Consider the following 21419-nt stretch of genomic DNA (forward strand, 5'->3'; position numbering starts at 1 on the left):
GCTTTATAGTTTTGGGTCTTCCATTTGAGTATTTAACTTATTTTTATTTCATTTTTATATACAGTTAAATGTGGGAATGTAAGTTCATTCATCTGCATATGGATATTCAGTTTTTCCCTACACAATTTACTGAGGATACTTTTCTTTTCACAATAAATATTTTTGGTGCCTCTGTTGCAAATAAGTTATCTATAAATATATGGATTAATGTCTTGGTTTCTCTACTTTTTTCCATGGATTTTTATGCCAGCACTACGCTGTTTTTGTTATTACAGTTTTATAATTTTTTTTGAAATCTGGTTGTTAATACCTCCACCTCTGTTTTTTATCCACAAGACTGCATTAGTCATTTGGGGTATTTTCAATTGTATACAAATTTTAATAATGCTTTTTAATATTTCTGTGAATAATGCCATTGGTATTTTCATAGAGATGACATTGAATATGTAGATTGTCATGTGCATTATGGTCATTCTAACAATATAAATTATTCCAGTTCATGAATACAGATTGTCCTTCTTATTTTGTGTTTGTCTCATTCAATTAATTATATCAGTGTTTCATAGTTTGTTCATTTACGGATTTTCACCTCCTTGGTGAAATGTATTCCTAGGTGTTTAATAGTTTTTGTAGTTACTGAAAATGGGATTTCTTGATTTTTTTTACCTAGTTTATTGTTTGTGTATAGAAACCCCACTGAGATTTCTATGTTGATATTGTATCTTGAAACTTTACTAAATTCATCAGCTCTAAGAGCATTTACAAGAGTCTTTAGTATATATATGATTATGTCATCTGAAATTAGAGGTAATTTGGCTACCTTTTTTCTAATTGTAATCCCCTTTATTTCTTTCTCTTGTCTAACTGCTCTGGCTAGTACCTTCAGTACTGTGTTGAATAAGTGCTGAGAGTTGGCTTCCTTGTCTTTTCCAGTTTTCAGAAGAAAAGCATTAAACTTTTTTTCTGTTAAGTATGATGTTAGCTATGAACTTGTCATGTGGTCTTATTGTGTTGTTCTTTCTACACATAATTGAGAGTTTTTTTCATGAAGAGGTTTTGAGTTTTATAAAGTACTTATTCTGCATCTATTAAAGTAAAAATATGTTTTTCATCCTTGTCGTATATACGTGATATATCATGTTTATTCACTTGTGTATATTAAAGCATAATTGAATCCCTGGGTTGAATTCTACTTTGTCATGCTGTATTAGTATTAGTATTAGTATTTAAATGCTGTTTGATTTGCTGTGCTAGTAATTTGGGTTTTTTTATTTATGTTCAATAGGATATAGATTTTTTAAGTGAGTCCCTCTCATTACTTTTTATTGGTCTGTTAAGGCTTTCTATTTTTTCCTTTTTCAATCTTGTCAGGTAGTATATGGCCAGGAATGTATCCAATTCCTCTAGGTTTTCACATTTATCACATAATTTATTATAGTATTTCCTAATTTATTTTAATTCTGGGATATCAGTTGAGACATCTTCTGTTTCTACCTCATTTATTCATGTCTTAGCTCTTTATATTTTTTTTGTTAGCCCAGCTAATGGCTTTCAATTTTGCTTATCTTTTTTAAAAAGACTATTGCTATTTTAATATTTTCTGGTATTTTTAGTCTTAATTCCATTTATATCTAATCTGCTCTTTATTGTTTTTAAAAATAATTTTGAATTTAGCTTTTTCTTGTTCTTCAAGTTCTCTAACATGCATTGTTATTTTGATTAATTAAGATATTTCTACTTTTTGATGTGGGCATTTATTGCTCTAAACTTGCCTCATAATAGTGATTTGACTAAACGCCATAAGATTTGGTATGTTGTGTTTCTTTGTTTGTTTCATACATTTTTTATTTTCTTCTTAATGTCTTCTTTCACCCATTGGCCATGTAAGAGTGATTTGTTTAATTTTTGTGTTTATATTTTTTTGAAATTTTCTCCAGGCTGGGTGGTGGCTCATGCCTGTAGTCCCGGCACTTTGGAGGCCGAGGCTGGTGGATGACTTTAGGTCAGGATTTCAAGACCAGCCTGGCCAACATGGTGAAACCCCCTCTCTACTAAACATACCAAAATTAGCCAGGAGTGGTGGCAGGTGCCTGTAATTTCAGCTTATCAGGAGGCTGAGGCAGGAGAATGGTTTGAACTCGGAAGGTGGAGGTTGTAGTGAGCCGAGATTCTGTCACTGCACTCCAGCCTGGGATACAGAGAAAGAGTCTATCTCAAAAAAAAAAAAAAAAGAAGTTCCTCCAGTTACTGATGTTTAGTTTGATTCCATCTTTGACTCTATCTTAGTCAGATAAAACGTCGGTATAATTTTATTTAAATTTTTTGATACATTTTCTGTATTAATATATGATCAACTCTGAAGAGTATCACATGCGCTGAAGAAAAGAATATGTGTTCTGCATGAAAAAATGCTCACCATCACTGGCCACCAGAGAAATGCGAATCAAAACCACAATGAGATACCATCTCACACCAGTTAGAATGGCAATCATTAAAAAGTCAGGAAACAACAGGTGCTGGAGAGGATGTGGAGAAATAGGAACACTTTGACACTGTTGGTGGGACTGTAAACTAGTTCAACCATTGTGGAAGTCAGTGTGGCCATTCCTCAGGGATCTAGAACTGGAAATACCATTTGACCCAGCCATCCCATTACTGGGTATATACCCAAAGGACTATAAATCATGCTGCTATAAAGACACATGCACACGTATGTTTATTGCGGCACTATTCACAATAGCAAAGACTTGGAACCAACTCACATGTCCAACAATGATAGACTGGATTAAGAAAATGTGGCACATATACACCATGGAATACTATGCAGCCACAAAAAATGATGAGTTCATGTCCTTTGTAGGGACATGGATGAAACTGGAAATCATCATTCTCAGTAAACTATCGCAAGAACAAAAAACCAAACATATTCTCACTCACAGGTGGGAATTGAACAATGAGAACACATGGACACAGGAAGGGGAACATCACACTCTGGGGACTGTTGTGGGGTGGGGGGAGAGGGGAGGGATAGCTTTAGGAGATATACCTAATGCTAAATGACGAGTTGATGGGTGCAGCACACCAGCATGGCACATGTATACATATGTAACTAACCTGCACATTGTGCACATGTACCCTAAAACTTAAAGTATAATAATAATAAAAAAAGATAAATAAACACATCCATTTAATTCTTAAAAAAAAAAGAATATGTGTTCTGAAGTTGTTTGGTGCAATGGTCTGTAAATTCAGGTCCATTTGGAATATAGTGCAGTTTAAATCCAATGTTTGTCTGTTAATTTTTGGCTAGGTAACATATCCAATGCTAAATAACGTGTTAAATTCTCCAACTATAATTGTATAAGGTTAGTATCTATCCCTTACTATGTAATAGATTTGCTTTACATATTTGAGTTCTCAGGTGTGGGTACATATGTATATATGTGTGTGTGTATATATGTATATATATACAATTATGTGTTCTTGTTACATATATATAACATATATGTATATATGTATATTTACAGTTGTTACGTATTCTTGCTACATTGATCATTTTTTATTATATAATGTCCATTTTGGTCTCCCTTTACAGCATTTGACTTAAAATTTGTGTCTGATATAAGTAGAGCTATTTGTGCTGTTGGTTTCTATTTTTGTAGCATATCTTTTTTCCACCCACTCACTTTCAGTCTGTGTGTAGATTCTCAGATGATTTGAGTCTCTTGTAAGCAGCATAGAGTTGGGACTTTAATAAAATCAATTTTTATACTGTATTTTTAATTGAGGAATTTTATTACATAAGGTTATTATTTATAAGTATTTACTCAAATTATTTTCTTTATTGTTTTATGATTGTTTGTATATATGTATATATCTCTATCTTTGTTTATTCTCTTTCTGTTTGGTTTTATGATTTGATGTTGTTTTGTAGTAATAATGTTTGTTTCTTTTCTCCTTTTTTAATTGTTTCTACCATTGAAATATAGGTTTTGTGTGTTTTTTTCCAAGCTGATGGTTTTCATATGCTGGCTTTTATACAAAAATTCCCTTGAATATTTCTTGTATGACTGGTCAAGTGTGAAGAAAATATCTTAGTTTATCTCACCTGAGAAATAGTTTATTTCTCTTTCATTTCGGAGAGAAAGACCATCTGGGTACACTATTTCTGAATTGCAGATTTTTCTTACTGCTTTTTAATTTACATTCACCAATTTTACTAGAAACTCCTATAGATAACCAGATTCAAACATTGTGTTTGGATTATGTCAAAAACTAAAACTGTTTTTCATGATGACTACACCATTTTTTAGTTGCACCATTATGAAAAACAGTATAGCAGCTCATAAATAAATCAAAAATGGAAATACAATATGACTCAGCAAACGCTTCTCTGGAAATACAGGGAAAGGAAATAAAATCATGAACTTGTAAAGACACCTGTGCTCTTATATTAATTGCAGCTCTATTTATGGCAGCCAATATATAAAAACAACCTAAGTGTTAATGCACAAAGGGATGAAGTAAATGTGGTATAAGAAAACACTACAATATTATTCAGTCTGATAAAAAAGAGATGCTTCCATTTGCCACAGGCTAGTAGGACCCCCACCATCACTACCAATGCACCCCATCCATTCCAGCCCTTTCCTGGGCTGGCAGATTCAGGCCCAGTCATAAGCACTGTTTGTGATGTAGTGGCCAGAGAGAGCATAAGTGATGCAGAAGGTCAGTGTGGGCTCTTCTAGTCTGGGCCTGACTCCTGTAGCTGCTCCAAAGACAGGGCACCTGGAGATATGAATAATCAGTCTCTGCCAGTCATGTGCAACCACATTCAACCCATAGAGCAGGGCTTTACATCTGAGACAGATTGGTGAGTTGTCAACAGGCAAAAAAAAAAAAAAAAAAATCACAATAAAGTCATCTTTTTCATGAACACAACTCTGCATTTCACAAGTACTTTAGCACTATCTAAGGAGAGAGCTTTTAGCTTCCAGAATCCAAAAGTGTATTTTTTCCTAGAGCTTGAATAATAATTTTGATGTGGGACAGCCTTGTTCTTATAAGGCAGAGAAACTGAGATCAGATTCCTGCTGTATTTTAATATTTTGCCGATTTATTTTGTGGTTGTCTTGAAGCACTCATTGCCAAAAACTATTTCCACTGCAGTTATTAAAATTGGCTCAATTTTCATTTTTCTATCTGTGACATATGAGCTTTTATGTCAAGTGACTGACATGTACACCCTACAGAAAAAATTACAAAGTAACTCTGTGAGTCATTTGTAATTCTTAAATGCGACACTTCCATTACCATCAAGAATCTTCTGGAAAGCTTGTACTAAAAAGAAATAGTAAATAACATTCTTAAATTAAAACTAGCAAAACTTTAAGAAGCTATGAACTCCATTTTCCAAAGCTACTTGCACTAGCACTTATGACCCATGGTTCACTTCATCAGAAACACATCCAGTACCACTTTATGATTTGGAATGTGGAAGGTCTGTGCATTTTTTTCTTTTATCTCCAGTGTTAGCATCTGCTTTATCACATGCAGACACAGCAAAATATTTTAAGAGATTGATGTGTTAGGCAGAAACACTGAACAATACATTGAGTTTCCCTTTCCATCATATCTTCCTAAAAATTCTTTATATGGTGAAAAAGCTCCCATTCTTTATGTTGGAAGAAATATCAGAAAAAAAGAGCTTCAAAGATTGTCAAAAGGGCATTAATATTAACACTAAATGAAGCAATTACTTCACGGTATAAATTCTTAGGCAGTTAAAGTTAAAATAAGAAGGGCTAAGTAAGTTGCTAAGTTGCTTTGAGACAATTTTCCTGGGCTGCAAAGATTAATAACAAGGGTGGCAACAGTGGAAAGTTGGACTCACAGTACATGAGGACATATCCTTGTGGGGGTAGCTTTTTCCTAAAGTTGTGGTGGATTTTGTGCAAGGTTGTGTTTTTTAGGCTCTATTTGTGGTAGTTCTTGTTACCAAGTGTAAGTGTATGAGAACCCTGCTTCTATGGCCTTTCCCAGTCCCATTTGCAAAAGTTTTAACAAAAGTGACTCCGTTTTGATTCTGACAAAATTCAAAATTTCTTCTGGTTTGCACAACAAAGAATCAATTCCACAGTCACGTTTCACTCTCACCAAACAAGCTTATGCCCTTCAGTTCCCCTGGGCCACTCAAATTTCCACATGAGTCCCCATGAAACACGGTGGAGGGTCCCAAGCACTGGGGAAAGAAGAAAGCCCCATCAGCCTCTCCCATGCGGCTGCAGGAGCCACAGCCTGAGCCCCACCTGAGCTCCAGCGGAAGAGCTTGAGCCTTGGAATTTAGACCGCATGGACCACATCTTTCTTTTTCAGGGAGCAGAAAAGAAAACGAAAAAGTGACAACAGCTGAAAAGAAAGAAAATGGATTGACAGCAAAAAGTGCAGCAGATGAGTGCTGATACTGCTTTGCATAGTCTCATATCAGGAGAAGGGGCAGACGTGAAACCTGTGAGCTTGTACGTGACACTGACTCTGGCCCAGCCTCTTTCTTGGCTGGAATCAGAAAAATTCCAGCCTTTTTTAATCAGGGAATGAAACGTTTTAAATCAGGGAATTATAGCCTTTTTTAATCAGGGAATTAAACTTAGTTTCCTGTCCCGAATGTGATTGGAGAAGACCCACAAGGCACCCCTGAGCTTCCTCAGGACTCTGATCTTGGTGACCGTGGTTGAGAACTTCTCATGCCTGGAAGTGGTGATCTGCATTTTGTGCATGTGAGACTAGGCCTTTATATTACTACCTTTTAAAAGGTGTATATTTGGAGATTTTTTTGGTAGGCACAGAACTCTAAATTAGTGAGGTTCTCTGGGAAACTGTCAGTTGGAGAGGGAAGTTACAAACACTATGAGAAAACCAGCTCCTACCCTGTATCTGCATCTGCCTCTGAGGTTGAATCTGATCAGTGGGTCCTGAGCGCCCCCGTAGCTGATTTACTTCATGTGTTTCTGCAGAGAGGTTTGTGTCTGGGCTCAACCTGACTTCCCTTCACTGCGTCTCCAGCACAGTAATACGTGGCTGTGTACTCAGCTCTCAAACTGTTCATTTCCAGATAAGAGTGTGTTCTTGGCATTGTTTCTGGAGATGGGGAATCAGAACTTCCCAGAATGTGCATAGCGTATGCTACTCCCATCAGTACTAATACATGAGACCCACTCCAGTCTGTTCCCTGGAGCCTGGCAGGCCCAGTGCATCCAGTGGCTACTGAAGGCAAATCCAGAGGCTGCACAGGACAGTCTCAGGGACCCCCACCCCCACCGCGCCAGGCTGTACCAAGTCTCCCCCAGGCTCCAACAACTGCGCCTCACACTGGACACCCAAAAACACAGGGGCATCCTGGTCAGAAACTGGCACATATTTTCAGTGTTTCCTTAACTGTTATCCACTCACACTCAAAATCTCTAGTTCACCCTGAATCTACTTTTAAAATAGTAACAAGTAAATCCCAAGTCAGCACAAACCCCATGGTGAGTTCTCTGTTCAGTGCTAATCACCATGTGGAAAAACCTTGAAATTCCAGGGCTGGGTCTCCCATCCCAGAACTGTAGGGTGAGGGCAGGGCTGGTTTTCACCAAAGAAGGAGGGTCCTTTGCATATTTCCAACTACATAAAAAACTCTAGGGTGGGACACGTGAGGAGAAGGCATTGCCGAGAGAGGATGATGGTGTCCTGCAGGAGTTTGGTAACTTATGGTATTTAGAAGATTTGCACTTTTACGAGGAAATTGTGCTGTGATAAACAGCATCAAACACCTTATTATATTTTAAATATGTGTGTAAATTATGTCTGTGAGACTCAATGTTTCTCCATGTACGGATGTGAAAGTAAACCCACACACAGAGTGCCTATGTATGTGTCTAAGTGCTCATGTCTGAGATGAGTGAGTTCCGGTATCTGAGCCCGTGTTCCTCATCACTGTGTTCCCTGAACTAACTCCAGGACAGAGCGGGACATGTCTAGTGTGGCTTGCAGAACTTACTGCCTTAATGAAAATATTGTGACTCTGTTACACTCCAGCGTTCACCTAAAATTATGGAGAGAACTAAGGTTCACGCAGATAAATTTTCAGGTAACTGGCATTTAACATATGTTACCCATTTTCTATCAGTTCTTTTTGTCTAATTTTTTATTTGTTTGCTTGTAATAAACTTTATAAGGTCTAATTGAGAGATAATAAACTTCATATACTTAAAGTATACATTGATAAACATGACATAACTATCACCATTATCAAGAAAGTGGACAAGTGAATTCGCCTCAATTTTTTCTCCTGTTCCACATTTCCTCCTATCCCTTTCCCTTCTTCTACCATTTCCTCAGGCAACAACTGTTCTTCATTAAATTATTGTAGGTTAGTTTTCATTTTCCAGAATTTATAGAAATGGAATAATATAGCATATATACTTATTTTTTTGGCTTATTTTACTCAGCATAAATACCTAGATATTTTAGTTTGTTGTGTGTATCAGATATTTGTACATTATAAATGATGGGTAACAGTCCAGTGAACAAATTTACTATAATGATTTTTCCTATTAAGAAGCTAATTAATATGTGGACTCTTCTGTTATTCTGGGTTTTACCAAAAATATCTGCTACTCAGCTTGCAGAAGTACTTAGATAAGAAATATATATATTTTTGTATTTTACAACAACAACATCAACAATAACAGATGAACAGAAAATAAGAAACTTGGCAAATTGTCTTTCATACTTCAGATAATCGAAATTTTAAGACAAACAACAAATCTGAAATTTAGGGAGAGACAAGTTCTTGTAGAGAGTAACAAAGTCAGGGTATGAGATTACCTGAGGCAGAGTCTGCCATATGAAATATAGTCTATTTCAAGATAAGGCTTCAAATACATTAATTAGGTTGCTTAAAGTCAAGAGTGGTGAATGTGCTCTAGTGTAAAATTCTCAGGGACCAAATACTGAAGAGCTTTCTTATTCTCTTGAATATCTTTCCTGTAGAAATGGGACAACCACATAAATCGTTCTGTACTAAAGTGTCTGTCTGGGAGAGAATGACAGCCTGAACTTCTAAAACACATCCAGACCCACCTCCTCCCTTATCACCACTACAAAACTAAGAAATTACACTTTAGGGGAAAGCCTCTGAAACCGGTATCCGAAGGGCTGAAATAGATACTCTAGAGGATGGAACAAGGTAACAATACAAAGCCAAGCAGAAAATAAAAAGCTATTGTTGCTGTTGATACCGTAATCAGTTGGCTCTAGCTTAGGTAGATTGGCATTGATAACCTGGTTGGGTCTGATTCCAATCAGAAAAGAATGGGAGAAGATAAAATAGTATGGTGTTTCAGCACATTCAGCTCTCTCTGAGACTTCCAGCCTGCATTTATTTACGGTTGCTCTTATGAACATTGAACATGCCTACACATCTCTCATAATTATTATACCCTGTATCCCACAGAAAATTGGCAAGTCCATCTGCAGCTTGTCAAACCTGAATATCAGACAGAAAGAAACTCTAAAGTAAAGTGGTATTTATTTGAGAATTAGCATTGCAATGGGAATGTGCACGGGCACATTTCGGTAGGTAAATAAGGAAAGTGTTTTAAAGAAAAAATGAGGAGGGCCACATATGCGGTTTTGAGACACTTAACCTGGGATAAAATGATCAATAACCAGGGTGGCATCAGTGTAATATTGCACAGGCACCTCTGGGCAGATGTACTTGGAGAAGTAATTATTTTAAGGTTGTGCTGGCCTTTGTGCAAGGTTGTGGTTTTGCAGAATCTATTTATGACAGTTCTTGTTATGGAAGGCATGTGTATGAGAACCCTCCCTCATGGCCTTCCCAGCTCCATTTCCCAGGTTTTAACACAAATTGTTGCAGTTTGATTCTGACAACTTTTACAGTCTCTTTCTAACACTATGGTGAGAAAAGTGACTCCATGACAATTTGCACAGCACAGGATCAGTCCACACCCACATCTCATCCCCTTCACTACTAATGACAATTTGCACAGCACAGGATCAGTCCACACCCACATCTCATCCCCTTCACTACTAATGACAATTTGCACAGCACAGGATCAGTCCACACCCACATCTCATCCCCTTCACTACTAATGACAATTTGCACAGCACAGGATCAGTCCACACCCACATCTCATCCCCTTCACTACTAATGACAATTTGCACAGCACAGGATCAGTCCACATCCACATCTCATCCCCTTCACTACTAATGACAATTTGCACAGCACAGGATCAGTCCACACCCACATCTCATCCCCTTCACTACTAATGGCCACGTGCAATCTCAGATGAGTCTCCACACAACACCGTGGAATGCCTGAGTCATGAGAAGGAAAGAAAGTCCCATCAGCCTCTTTCACGTGGCTGCAGGAGCCACATCCTGAGACCCACCTGAGCTCCCAGGAAAAGGCTTGAGCCCTGGAATTTAGACCACAGGGATTACATCTCCCTTTATCAGGAAGCAGGAAAAGCAAATGGAAAAGTGAAAGCCAAAAGTGAAAGGCACAACTAAAAAAAAAGAAAATGGATATAGCAAAAGAAATAACTAAACAACAACAACTAAAAAGAAAGAATACGGAAAGCAAAAGAAAAATCAAATCACTGCTGATACTGAATTTCATATTTCACTGTCAAGAGAAGGGTCATATATGGAAGCTGTGAGGTTCTATATGACACTGACCCTGGTCCAGACTCTGTCTTGGTTATGATCAGAATCCAAAAATAGTATCTGAATCATGGAATTTCACTGAGGTTACTGTTCTGGGTCTGATTAGAGATGACCCACCAGAACACTTAAGATTTTCCAGGACTCTGATGTTTTTGACATTGGTTGATAATTTTTCTTCTCTGTAAGTGTCAATCTACATTTTGTGCATGAGAAAATATGTCCTCGCATTACTATGATTATTTTATATATATATATATATATATATGTATATATAACAATAGTACACACAGAATTCTAAAATGAAGAGGCTCCCTAAAGAAAGTAATGGAAGAAGATGATGAAGTCCAATGTCCTGACAGAAAACCAGCCCCTAACCTCCATGTGAACCTCCCTCTGGAGTGGACTCTGATCAGTGGGCCTTGAGTGAGCCCTGTAGCTGATTTTCCTCCCAGCGTTCCTGTAGGAGGTTTGTGACTGGGCTCACACTGACTTCTCCTCACTGTGTCTCTTACAGTAATAGACGGCCATGGTGTCAGCAATGAAACTGTTTATTTGCAGATACAGTGAGTTCTTGGTGTTTTCTCTGGAGATGGTCAACCGGCCCTTCACAGAGTCTGAGTAGTATATGCCTCCACCACTAGCATTAATGTAAGACCCACTCCAGTCCCTTCCCTGGAGCTTGGTCCACCTAGTGCATGCCATAGTTACTGAAAGTGTATCCAGAGGCTGCACAGGAGAGTCACATGGACCCCCCAAGCTGTACCAAGCCTCCCCCAGACTCTACCAGCTACACTTCACATTGGACACCTGCAAACACAGAGACATTCTTGTCAGAAACTGCCACACAGATCCACTGTTTCTCTCACTCATATCACTCACAGACAATATTTCTAGTTCTTCTTGATTGCCTTTTAGAACAACAACAAAGAAAACCCAGCGCATTCCTAACTCCATGGGATGTCTTCAGTGTTCAGTGCTAATCACTGAATGGAAGCACCTTGGTACTGCACGGCTGGGGCTTGTCTCCCAGAGCTGCAGAGTCAGGGCTGGGCTGGTTTTCATCAGCTGAGAGAGGGCCCTATTTTCATGTATCCTAATATATAGAAAGCTATGGTTTGGGATGCCTGAGGAGAGGGGAGGGTCAAGAGAAGATGAAAGATTCCTGGGAGATTTACATTGAAAGTTAATATTGATCAATGAGATGATTGTGTGTGTGTGATGAATCACATTTACTGATTTATGTATATTTCAGAATGGAATACAACACAGTCATAAGAAGAATAAGATCATGTTATTTGCAGCAACATAGATGGAGCTGGAGGTCATTATCCTAAGGAAAGTAACACAGTAACAGAAAATTACAAACCATCTGTTCTCATGTATAAGTGGGAGCTAATCATATTGACACAAAGAAAACAACAGACACTAGGTCCTACTTGAGTGTGGAGGGTGGGAGGAGGGTGAGAATTGAAAAACTACCTACCAGGTACTATGCTTATTTCCTTGGTGACAAAATAATCTGTACATCAAACCAACAGAACTCACAATTTGCCTATAAAACAACACTTGCACAAGTACTTCTGAACCTAAAATAAAAGTTTAAAAACATTTTGGCTAGTTTTTCATTATTAATACAACACCTGAATACTCCTTAGTTATTGCAAATGCTCTCTAGAATATTTTTGTGTGTGTTTTTTTACTATCTTTTAACATAAAAAAACTTAGATTTATATAACTATACAAGTTAATAATGTATTTTGAAACTTCACAGTCACACCCATATATACAGACACAGACACACACACCCAGCAATGAAACATATATGTGCACAGGCAAAAATAAATGCATTTCCAAACATCAAAGTGACATACATTTGTTTCTGTGTTATTATATTTAATTTATATGGATTTATTTGTATTTATAGTTTAAGGTTTTAGTCCAAAGTAACATTCTTCTATGAGTAAGTCTGTCTATTCCAATGTAAATTAAGAAATATATGTAAATGCATGTTTTAATAAAACTTACTGTAACTGCCATTATTGACAAATCTATCATTGAAAAATACAATGGTATTCTTTACATACTCTGTGCTAGCTTATTTCCCATTTTTACTAATAGCATATTTTTTAAATAAATGTTTTAATGCATTTAATGTTATAAATAAATATAATAATCAATAAGGCAAGCATCTCTATTAAAATTTTATTACACGATTGGTTGAAATAACATTGTACTTTACAAAAGGCATCACCTTTTTCTAATTTAAATAGCATTTAAATATTAAATTAAAAAAATATTAAGTATTAAAAAATAGCAATTTCCAGTTTAAAGACTTTTTTCTTTTGCAATGGCTTCACATGAATTTTTAACATCAACTCGATAGGTTATTTGACAATATTCCTGGATGCTAGAGAATATCCATAAATATAGAATTAATATCAGCACAGGGTTCCCAGGATTCACTCACAATGACAACTTGCTAGAGGGTGGTCAGGAAGTGTGCAAACACGTTAGGGATTTAGGCTTTATCATCAAAGCACTAGTGAGCCCCAGGGCTGAGCACACAGTGGGCAGCAGGAGCTGCAGAGCCCACTCTGTGGTACTTAGGGAAGATAGAGGATGGGGTGGGGTGATGTCTGCAGGACCGTTGAAAGGGGTGAGGAGGGCAGAGAGTCTGCAGGTAGATGAGCATATTCTTAGAACTGTTGCCTGCCTATACTTGGTTGGCTTCAGTGATCATAAAGGGAAGTGAACTGATTCACCAGACATGGATGAGACATAATAAACGGGCTTGCTGATTCCTTGAATGGAAATTGAGGATTATAAAAGGTTTGGAAAGAAGAAGGGAAGGTGGAGAAACAGACTGAGGGGCAGAACACCAGGGGCCACCAAAGTGGAGGACAGGAGCCCTTAAAGTGGGGTTTCATCTTCACAATCAGCAAATGGAAGAAAAAGAAACTCAACACCATGCATATGCTGAGTTATTGTTAGAAAACATTTACAAAAGTGTGACTGACACAGCACAGTAACAAAAATCTGTGTAAATAGTTTGAAGTAAGCATACACAATTTCTTCATTTTAAAATTGTACTGAGATATTATTACTAGTATTATTACAAAAATATAAAGAATTAAAAGTTTAATTGAATTCCTGTTCTAAGTTAGGATTTTGTAGGTAAGAGAAACATGGATTCCAAGGAAGAAATGGCAAAAGATGCTGAGAAGAGTTTCACTTTACCAGGTCAGGAATCACAAGGCCTAAATAAAGAAACCCACCCTCCCCAGGGACCTGATGATGCACTGCTTCCTAAGAGAACCCTGATGTCCTGACCGCCCCTTGGTGTTCTTAGCACCCCCTAGTGTCCCGAGCGCCCCCTGTTGGTTCTGAGCTCCCCCTTGTGTCCTGAGCGCCACCTCATGTCCTGAGCGCCCCCTGGTGGTTCTGAGCTCCCCCTTGTGTCCTGAGTGCCACCTCATGTCCTGAGCGACGTCTGGTGATTCTGAGCAGCTCCTGATGTCCTGAGCGCCCCCTGGTGGTTGCTGAGCAGACCCTGGTGTCCTGATCCTCCCCTTGTGTCCTCAGCATCCCCTGGTGTCCTCACCACCCCCAGGTGGTTCTGAGCTCCCCCTTGTGTCCTGAGTGCCACCTCATGTCCTGTGCGCCACCTCATGTCCTGTGCGCCGTCTGGTGATTCTTTTTTTTTTTTTTTTTTTTTTTGAGACGGAGTCTCGCTCTGTCACCCCAGGCTGGAGTGCAGTGGCGGGATCTCGGCTCACTGCAAGCTCCGCCACCCGGGTTCACGCCATTCTCCTGCCTCAGCCTCCCAAGTAGCTGGGACTACAGGCGCCCGCCACTACGCCTGGCTAATTTTTTGTATTTTTAGTAGAGACGGGGTTTCACCGTTTTAGCCGGGATGGTCTCGATCTCCTGACCTCGTGATCCGCCCGCCTCGGCCTCCCAAAGTGCTGGGATTACAGACGTGAGCCACCGCGCCCAGCCGCCGTCTGGTGATTCTGAGCAGCTCCTGATGTCCTGAGTGCCCCCTGGTGGTGGCTGAGCCTCTCCTGGTGGTTCCTGAGTGCCCCCTGGTGGTTCTGAGCAGACCCTGGTGTCCTGAGCACCTCCTCGCGTCCTGAGCCGACCCTGGTGTCCTGATCCTCCCCTTGTGTCCTCAGCGCCCCCTGGTGTCCTCACCACCCCCAGGTGGTTCTGAGCGCCCCCTGGTGGCTCCTGAGTCTTCCTTTGTGTCCCCACTGCCTCCTGCTGGTTCTGAGCTCCCCTTGGTGGTTCTGAGCAGTGTCTGTCACACGGTCCCCTCCTGTCTCCCTGCAGGGAGGTTTGTGTCTGGGCTCAGACACAAATACAGGTGTCCCCTGTGTTAGGTTGCCACACGGATATCTCCTGTGTCTCTCACAGTAATACATGGCCTTCTCCTCGGCTCTCAGGTTGGTCATTTTGAGGGAGACTGTGCTGACAAGGGTGTCCCTGAGGATTATGATTTTTCTTTGTATTGATGGAGGGTACCACTAACAAATTCCACTTGAATCCCTCGCTTTTGCCTCCCACACCAACCCCTGTCCTGAAGCCTGCTGGGCTGAGCTCATGCTAGAGTCAATGAAGGTAAATTCAGAGGCTTTGTAAAAAAGGCTCTGAGAACAGTTAGGCTGTATCATTTCTCTTCCAGATTCCACCAGTGAACTTCTTGTAGGACTCTTACAAACACAGAGGGAACAGGCTGAGAAGCAGCCACAGCTAGGCTTGATCCACAGGGACCCTACCTCTGAGAATAAGAAGAGAACCCCAGATTAGCAGAGACCCTAAGGTGTGGACACTGAGGAAGGGCACCGACATCAGGTGGCATCCCCTTCATGGACAGGGGATAAGCTGTCCATGGGCCATTTTATGAGCATGGATGGGGGGCACATTTACACCTCTTTCTCCCTGTGGACAAGTGTGAACTGCTCAGCAGGGCTCATCCCTCTGCCTCTAGACTTCAGGGAGGGCAGGGTCAAAGAATCACTGAAACTGGATGCTCCGGCTTAATCTTTCCATCACTCTCTTCTTTTTCTCTAATGTGAGCCTGGTTTAGTTATTTTTATGGTATCAACCTTCATCAACAAATAAGTCAAGGAAGTACATGAAAAGAAAGTGTTAGGAAGAGTTCGTACATGAACAGGAACCTGTTTGCATGTCTCCGACTATAGAGTCGGTTCTTGGGTGAAATTCCTGAGGAGAGAGCAATGCTCATAGTAGGTGAGAGTATCATTTGTAGCATTTGGAAAAATATAATTTTCCAATCTGTCCTTAGGCAACTACTGATCTTTTTTTGTTACTTTAGATTCATTTTCATTTTTTATAATTCCTAGAAATAGAATCATACTTTATGCACTTTTATGTGTTGGCTTATCTTAGGATACATTTTTGTGAATACAACAATGTTGTTTTTTGTATCAAAGCTGTATTACCCAGAGTTCTCTAGAGAAATAGAACTAATATAACATATGTATATAGGAAATATAGTTTATTAGAATTTTCTCACAAAATTACAAAATGAAAGTTCCATGATAGGCTTTCTAAAAGCTTGGGAAGAGAGAGAAACTGGTAGTGGCTCAGTCTAAGTCCAGAAGTCTCAAAACCAGAAAAGCCAACAGTGCACACTTCATTCTCTGACCAAGGGCCCAAGAACCCTCAGCAAGCCCCTGCTTCACGCCCCATAGTTCAACTGCCAAAGAACGTGAAATCTTATGTCCAAGGGTAGGAAGAGCAGAAGAAAGCAGCCAGCAAGGAAAACAAAGCAAAACAAAACAAAAACAGAAGGCGCAGCAAGCAATGTTATCTCCTCTTCTTCCACCTGCTTTATTCTAGCTGTGCTGGCAGCTGAGTGGATGGTGCCCTTCCATATTGGGGCTGGGTCTTTCTCTTGCAGGCTACTTAGTCAAATGCCAACCTCCTCTGGCAAAACCCAAGAGACACACAAAGAAACAATACTTTCCCAGCCATCTAAGCATGCTTTAATCCAATCAAGTTAAACCTAATATTAACTATCACAGGCCAATCCCTTGTTGTCAACTTAGCATCCCTACATATCACCTGAAATCATGCTCGATCTCCAAATAAAGACAATAGTAAGGTCATAATTATGCCTAACATAATACAGCTATCCTTCATACAACTGAAAATGCACTAATCCTTAACCTAAATGCCACTATATACAGTTAACAACTCTCAAATGCTAATATGAAGTCGATAAATCTTATGTTACATGAAAAACAAAAAGAAAACATTTTCTTAGTACAGTTATATACATGCAGAAATATATTCTTAAGAAGATAAGAAAGACATACTCATGACAATTCCAGTCCTCATTTCTGGTTGATGGTCATACCTGGTATTGATAACAACTTTCTTGTATCTACCCATTCTGTATTTTTTGGCCTTCAGCAGTTACCTTGGCTGGTCAGTTTTGTTTCTTGTTCATTTGTTTGTTTGTTTACCTGGTGGAGTGACCTAAACTTTTACTCTTGAAGAATCTGAGCCATCTGTATGCCTGCCTGGATTAGGTTGTTGTAGTTTCCCATTGACCTTAATCACATGGCAAAGTAATGCTAAGAGATGCCCTAAGAAATCCCCCTGTATTCCAAACATACTATTTCTTACCTCCATTGTGGAGTAGTAGTATGATTCCATCTTGATAGCCTGGGTCAATCACCCCAGCCATACAAATTATAAAGAGTTTTTTTCCAATTTATGTAAATGCATTTCTTTGAAGTTTTGAATGGGAGTTGTTTTTTATATGGTGACAGATAGAGATCCAGTCTTATTCTTTTACATGTGGCTTCCTAGTTTTCCCAGTACCATTTATTAAATATGGTGTCTATTTTCCAATTTATATTTTTGTATGTTTTGTAAAACATCAGTTGGCTTTACATATTTGGCTTTATTTCTGGGTTCTCTATTTTGTTCCAGTGGTCTATGAACCTACTTTATATCAGTACCATGTTGTTTAGGTAACTGCAGCCTTGTGGTATAATTTGAAGTTCAGTAATGTGATGGCTCCATTTTTTTCTTATTAGGATTTATTTGGCTATTTGGGCTTTTTTGGTTTCATATGAATTTTAACATTATTATTTTTTAATTCTGTAAAAAATAATGTGGGTATTTTCATAAGAATTGCACTGAATCTGTAGATTGCTTTGGGCATTACGGTCATGTTCACAATATTGCTTCTTCCAATCCATGAGCATGGGATTCATTTCCATTTGTTTGTGTCATCTATGATTTCTTTCAGCAGTGTTTTGTAGTTCTCCTTGTAGAAATCTTTTACCTTTTTGGTTAAGTATATTCCTAAATATCTTTTTGTAGCTTCTGTAAAAGAAATGGAGTTCTTGATTTGATTCGCAGCTTTGTTGTTGTTGATGTATAGCAGTGCTACCAATTTGTGTACATTTATTTTGTAACCTGAGACATAAGTGAATTCATTTACTAAAACTAACAGTATTTTGGGGGAGTTTAGGGTTTTCTAGGTATATAATCACTTCATCTGTAAACAGTGATAGTTTGACTTTCTCTTTCTCAATATGGATGCCCTTTATTTTTTTCTTCTGATTAATTGCTCTGGGTAGAACTTCTAGCACTATGTTGAATAGAACTGGTGAACATGGACATTCTTCTATTGTTTCTGTTCCCAGGGGGAATGCTTTTAACTTTTTCACATTCAGCATGATGTTGGGTGTGAGTTTTTCCTATATAACCTTTATTAGTTTGAGGTCAGTTCCTTCTATGCCTACCTGACTTAGAATTTTTATAATTAAAAACGCTGAATTTTGTTAAATGCTTTTTCTGCATCTATTGAGATAATCCTATAGTTTTTGTTTTTAGTTCTGTTTATGTGATGTGTTACATTTATTGACTTGTGTATGTTCAAATAATCCTTCCATTTCTGAGTTGAAACCTACTTTTATCATGATGAATTATCTTTTGGATGTGCTGTTGGACTCAGGTAGCTATTTTTTGAGTATTTTTGCATCTATATTTACCAGGAAAATTCGTATGTAGAGAGTGTGTGTGTGTGTGTGTGTGTGTGTGTGTGTGTGTGTTTTCCTGGTTTGGGTATCTGGGTTATAGTAGCTTTAGAGAATAATTTAGGGAGGATTCTTTTTTTCTAAATTTAAAAAATAGTTTCAGAAAAAATGGTAGCAATTTTTCTTTGAATTTTGTGTAGACTTCAAATGTGAATTCACCTGGCCCTATTTTGTTGTTGGTATTGTTGGCAATTCTTGAATTACTGATTCAATCTCATTGTTTATTATTCATCTATTCAAAGTAACTGTTTCTTCTTGATTTAATCTAGGAGAGTTGTATGTTTCTAGGAATTTTTCCATTTCCTGTAAGTCTCCTAGATTGTGCACATGAAGTTGTACATAGTAGTCTCAAATTATTTTATATATTAGCAGTGTAGATTGTATTGTCTCATTTCATTTCTAATTGAACTTATCTGGATCTTTGCTCTTCTTTTCTTGGTTAATATAGCTAATGGTCCATGAATTTGATTATTTTTTCAAATAACCAACTTTTTATTTCATTGGTTTTTTGTGTTTTTTGTTTGATTTTCATTTAGTTCTGCTCTGATCTTTGTTATTTCTTTTCTTCTTCTGGATCTAGGTTTAGTTTGTTCTTATTTCTCCAGTTTCTTGAGGTGTGACATTGTTGCAGAAATTTAGGAGGGCAAGGGAGACCTCAGGGTATAGCAGGAGGATCCTTTATTGAGTGCACTCTGTCTCAGTGGACTCAACGTCCAAAAAACTGGGCCCCGAACAAAGACAAGGTTTTGCTTATATACCTACTCCTAAGTGGTGCAAACGCGAATGTACAGAGGCAAGACAAAGGCCGTTAAACAAACTAAGACAGGCTTATAACTCAAGTTTAGTATACTCCTTACTATGCTGCCCAGATGGTCATTATCTGCTTAGTTCAAAGGAGTCTCACAAAGACTCATCTTGCGACCCCCACTATGGCGTCTAGCTGGCTACTAGCCAGACCTGCTCAGGCTATACTGCTTAGATGCAGAAGCAGGAACCTACAATCATTAACTGTAGGAAAAACAGAAACTCCAAAAACTTACAGAGCAAGGAGCAAGATATAGTTTACATAGCAGAGGGGATGAGATTCGACGGGGAAGTTTACTTACACTAAAGGAGAGATAGGAAAACTTATCTCTTCACATCCTTATGTTGAGGGAGTGCTGGGAGAGTCTTCAGAGCACATTCCTCTGAGCTCTGGCCCTTAAATTACATTATTGAAACTTTGCGTGTTACTGCCTTTGACATGAGTCAGCCTAACACAGGCAGCTTGTTTCTTTCTCTTTTTTAATTTCTATTTTCTTTTTTTCTTAATTTTTTTCTTTTTTCCCATCTCATACCCTGCCTTTGATGCCTCCTATGTATGAAATTTTAATAGAAGTCATCACTACAACTTTGTTCTTCATGATAAGGCAAGTTTTCTTCGTTTGGTACAGCTTGGTATTTAGTTAGAGCCATTAGTCAAGTGGTGATGGTTTTGTCAACTACGGCGTCTATAGTTGATTGGATGCCCCTGATAAGGAGGGGTAAGAGGCAGGGGAGTATTAAACAGCCTCCTAATATAGCTAGTACTATCCCTATTAATGTTTTAAAACTGCCAAAACCTGAAAACCAACCTCCAAAAAGGGAATCTAGAGACCATATTGGCTTCCAGGTCTGAACTGGGACATGAGCTAGCTTTTGCATTCTTGCAGTTATTTCCATGATGGCCTTTCTGTTATCATCAATTTCTAAACAACAATTTGTCAGATTAAACTTCCCGCCTATGCCTCCTTCCTGGGCTAGGAGGTAGTCCAAGCCTAGCCTATTTTGATAAATGGCATTTCTCATCTTTGTGGCTTGCTGGGCCAGCAGGTCTAATGCATTTGCAGTTTCATTGGTGATGATTTCAAGTACTGCCTGCAACCTTATGATGCTGTTGAGCATGTAAATAGGGGTACAGTATCCCTGCATCCCATCTTGTGCCCATGTAGCTGGCCCATAGTATTAAATTATTCTTTCAGGAGGCCAATCGGTGTCCTTCCAATCTCCTATCTTTATATCTTTTTTTATGTCTATATTCCTTTTGCTCCTCCCCTTAATTTCATCATAGATAGGATACCCTAAAACCTCTCCCTGTTGTAACGGGTCAAGGAAGAAAGATGGTCTTATTGTCCCCAACACACAGGCCCCTGTCCAATTGGCAGGTAATTGCCAATAAGCTCATGGCCCACAGATCCAGTCGAGGCCAGAAGGTGCTTGCTAGGTGTTCATTTGGTGCCTCTAGTTGATACCAGGAGTGGTTTAAAGAGTGAAAATGGGAAAATGGATTATGGCATGGCAACCTGGTTGTATCTTTACCTTGCTTATTATTGCCCCGCCATAAAGTTTTCCCTAATGTCTCATTGTAATATTGCTGTCCTAGGCAGACTAATTCCCCTACTGGGTTTGTAAAGGCTTTTCCCCAGTGGGCAATGCAGAATCTTCCAATGACAGAAGATTTTAGCAGCCAGACACTTGAGCTCGTGAGTGCCGGCTCTGGGGATGAAAGGGTTAAAGTGTAATTTTCTTGAGGCGATAGCTCTTTTGTTTCCCAAGGCCACTGGTTTCCCATATTTGTTCCTCCAC

General features: G+C 38.8%; 4 pseudogenes and 1 further gene; all 5 read right to left on the reverse strand.

Annotated features, from left to right (window-relative positions):
• The window catches only part of IGH (immunoglobulin heavy locus), a 1293408-nt gene that overhangs the window by 1230186 nt on the left and 41803 nt on the right, over positions 1 to 21419 (reverse strand).
• Positions 4620 to 4788, reverse strand: IGHVII-74-1 (immunoglobulin heavy variable (II)-74-1 (pseudogene); annotated as a pseudogene). Its single transcript is given in 1 exon segment — positions 4620 to 4788. A coding segment is annotated over 1 exon segment (169 nt).
• Positions 7056 to 7525, reverse strand: IGHV3-75 (immunoglobulin heavy variable 3-75 (pseudogene); annotated as a pseudogene). The gene is given in 2 exon segments: positions 7056 to 7376; positions 7481 to 7525. Coding segments are annotated over 2 exon segments (366 nt in total).
• IGHV3-76 (immunoglobulin heavy variable 3-76 (pseudogene)) lies at positions 11239 to 11688 on the reverse strand (annotated as a pseudogene). Its single transcript is given in 2 exon segments — positions 11239 to 11541; positions 11643 to 11688. Coding segments are annotated over 2 exon segments (349 nt in total).
• IGHVIII-76-1 (immunoglobulin heavy variable (III)-76-1 (pseudogene)) lies at positions 15141 to 15447 on the reverse strand (annotated as a pseudogene). The gene is given in 1 exon segment: positions 15141 to 15447. A coding segment is annotated over 1 exon segment (307 nt).

Source organism: Homo sapiens, chromosome 14 (genome assembly GCF_000001405.40).
Source record: "Homo sapiens chromosome 14, GRCh38.p14 Primary Assembly".
Classification (NCBI taxonomy): Eukaryota; Metazoa; Chordata; class Mammalia; order Primates; family Hominidae; genus Homo; species Homo sapiens.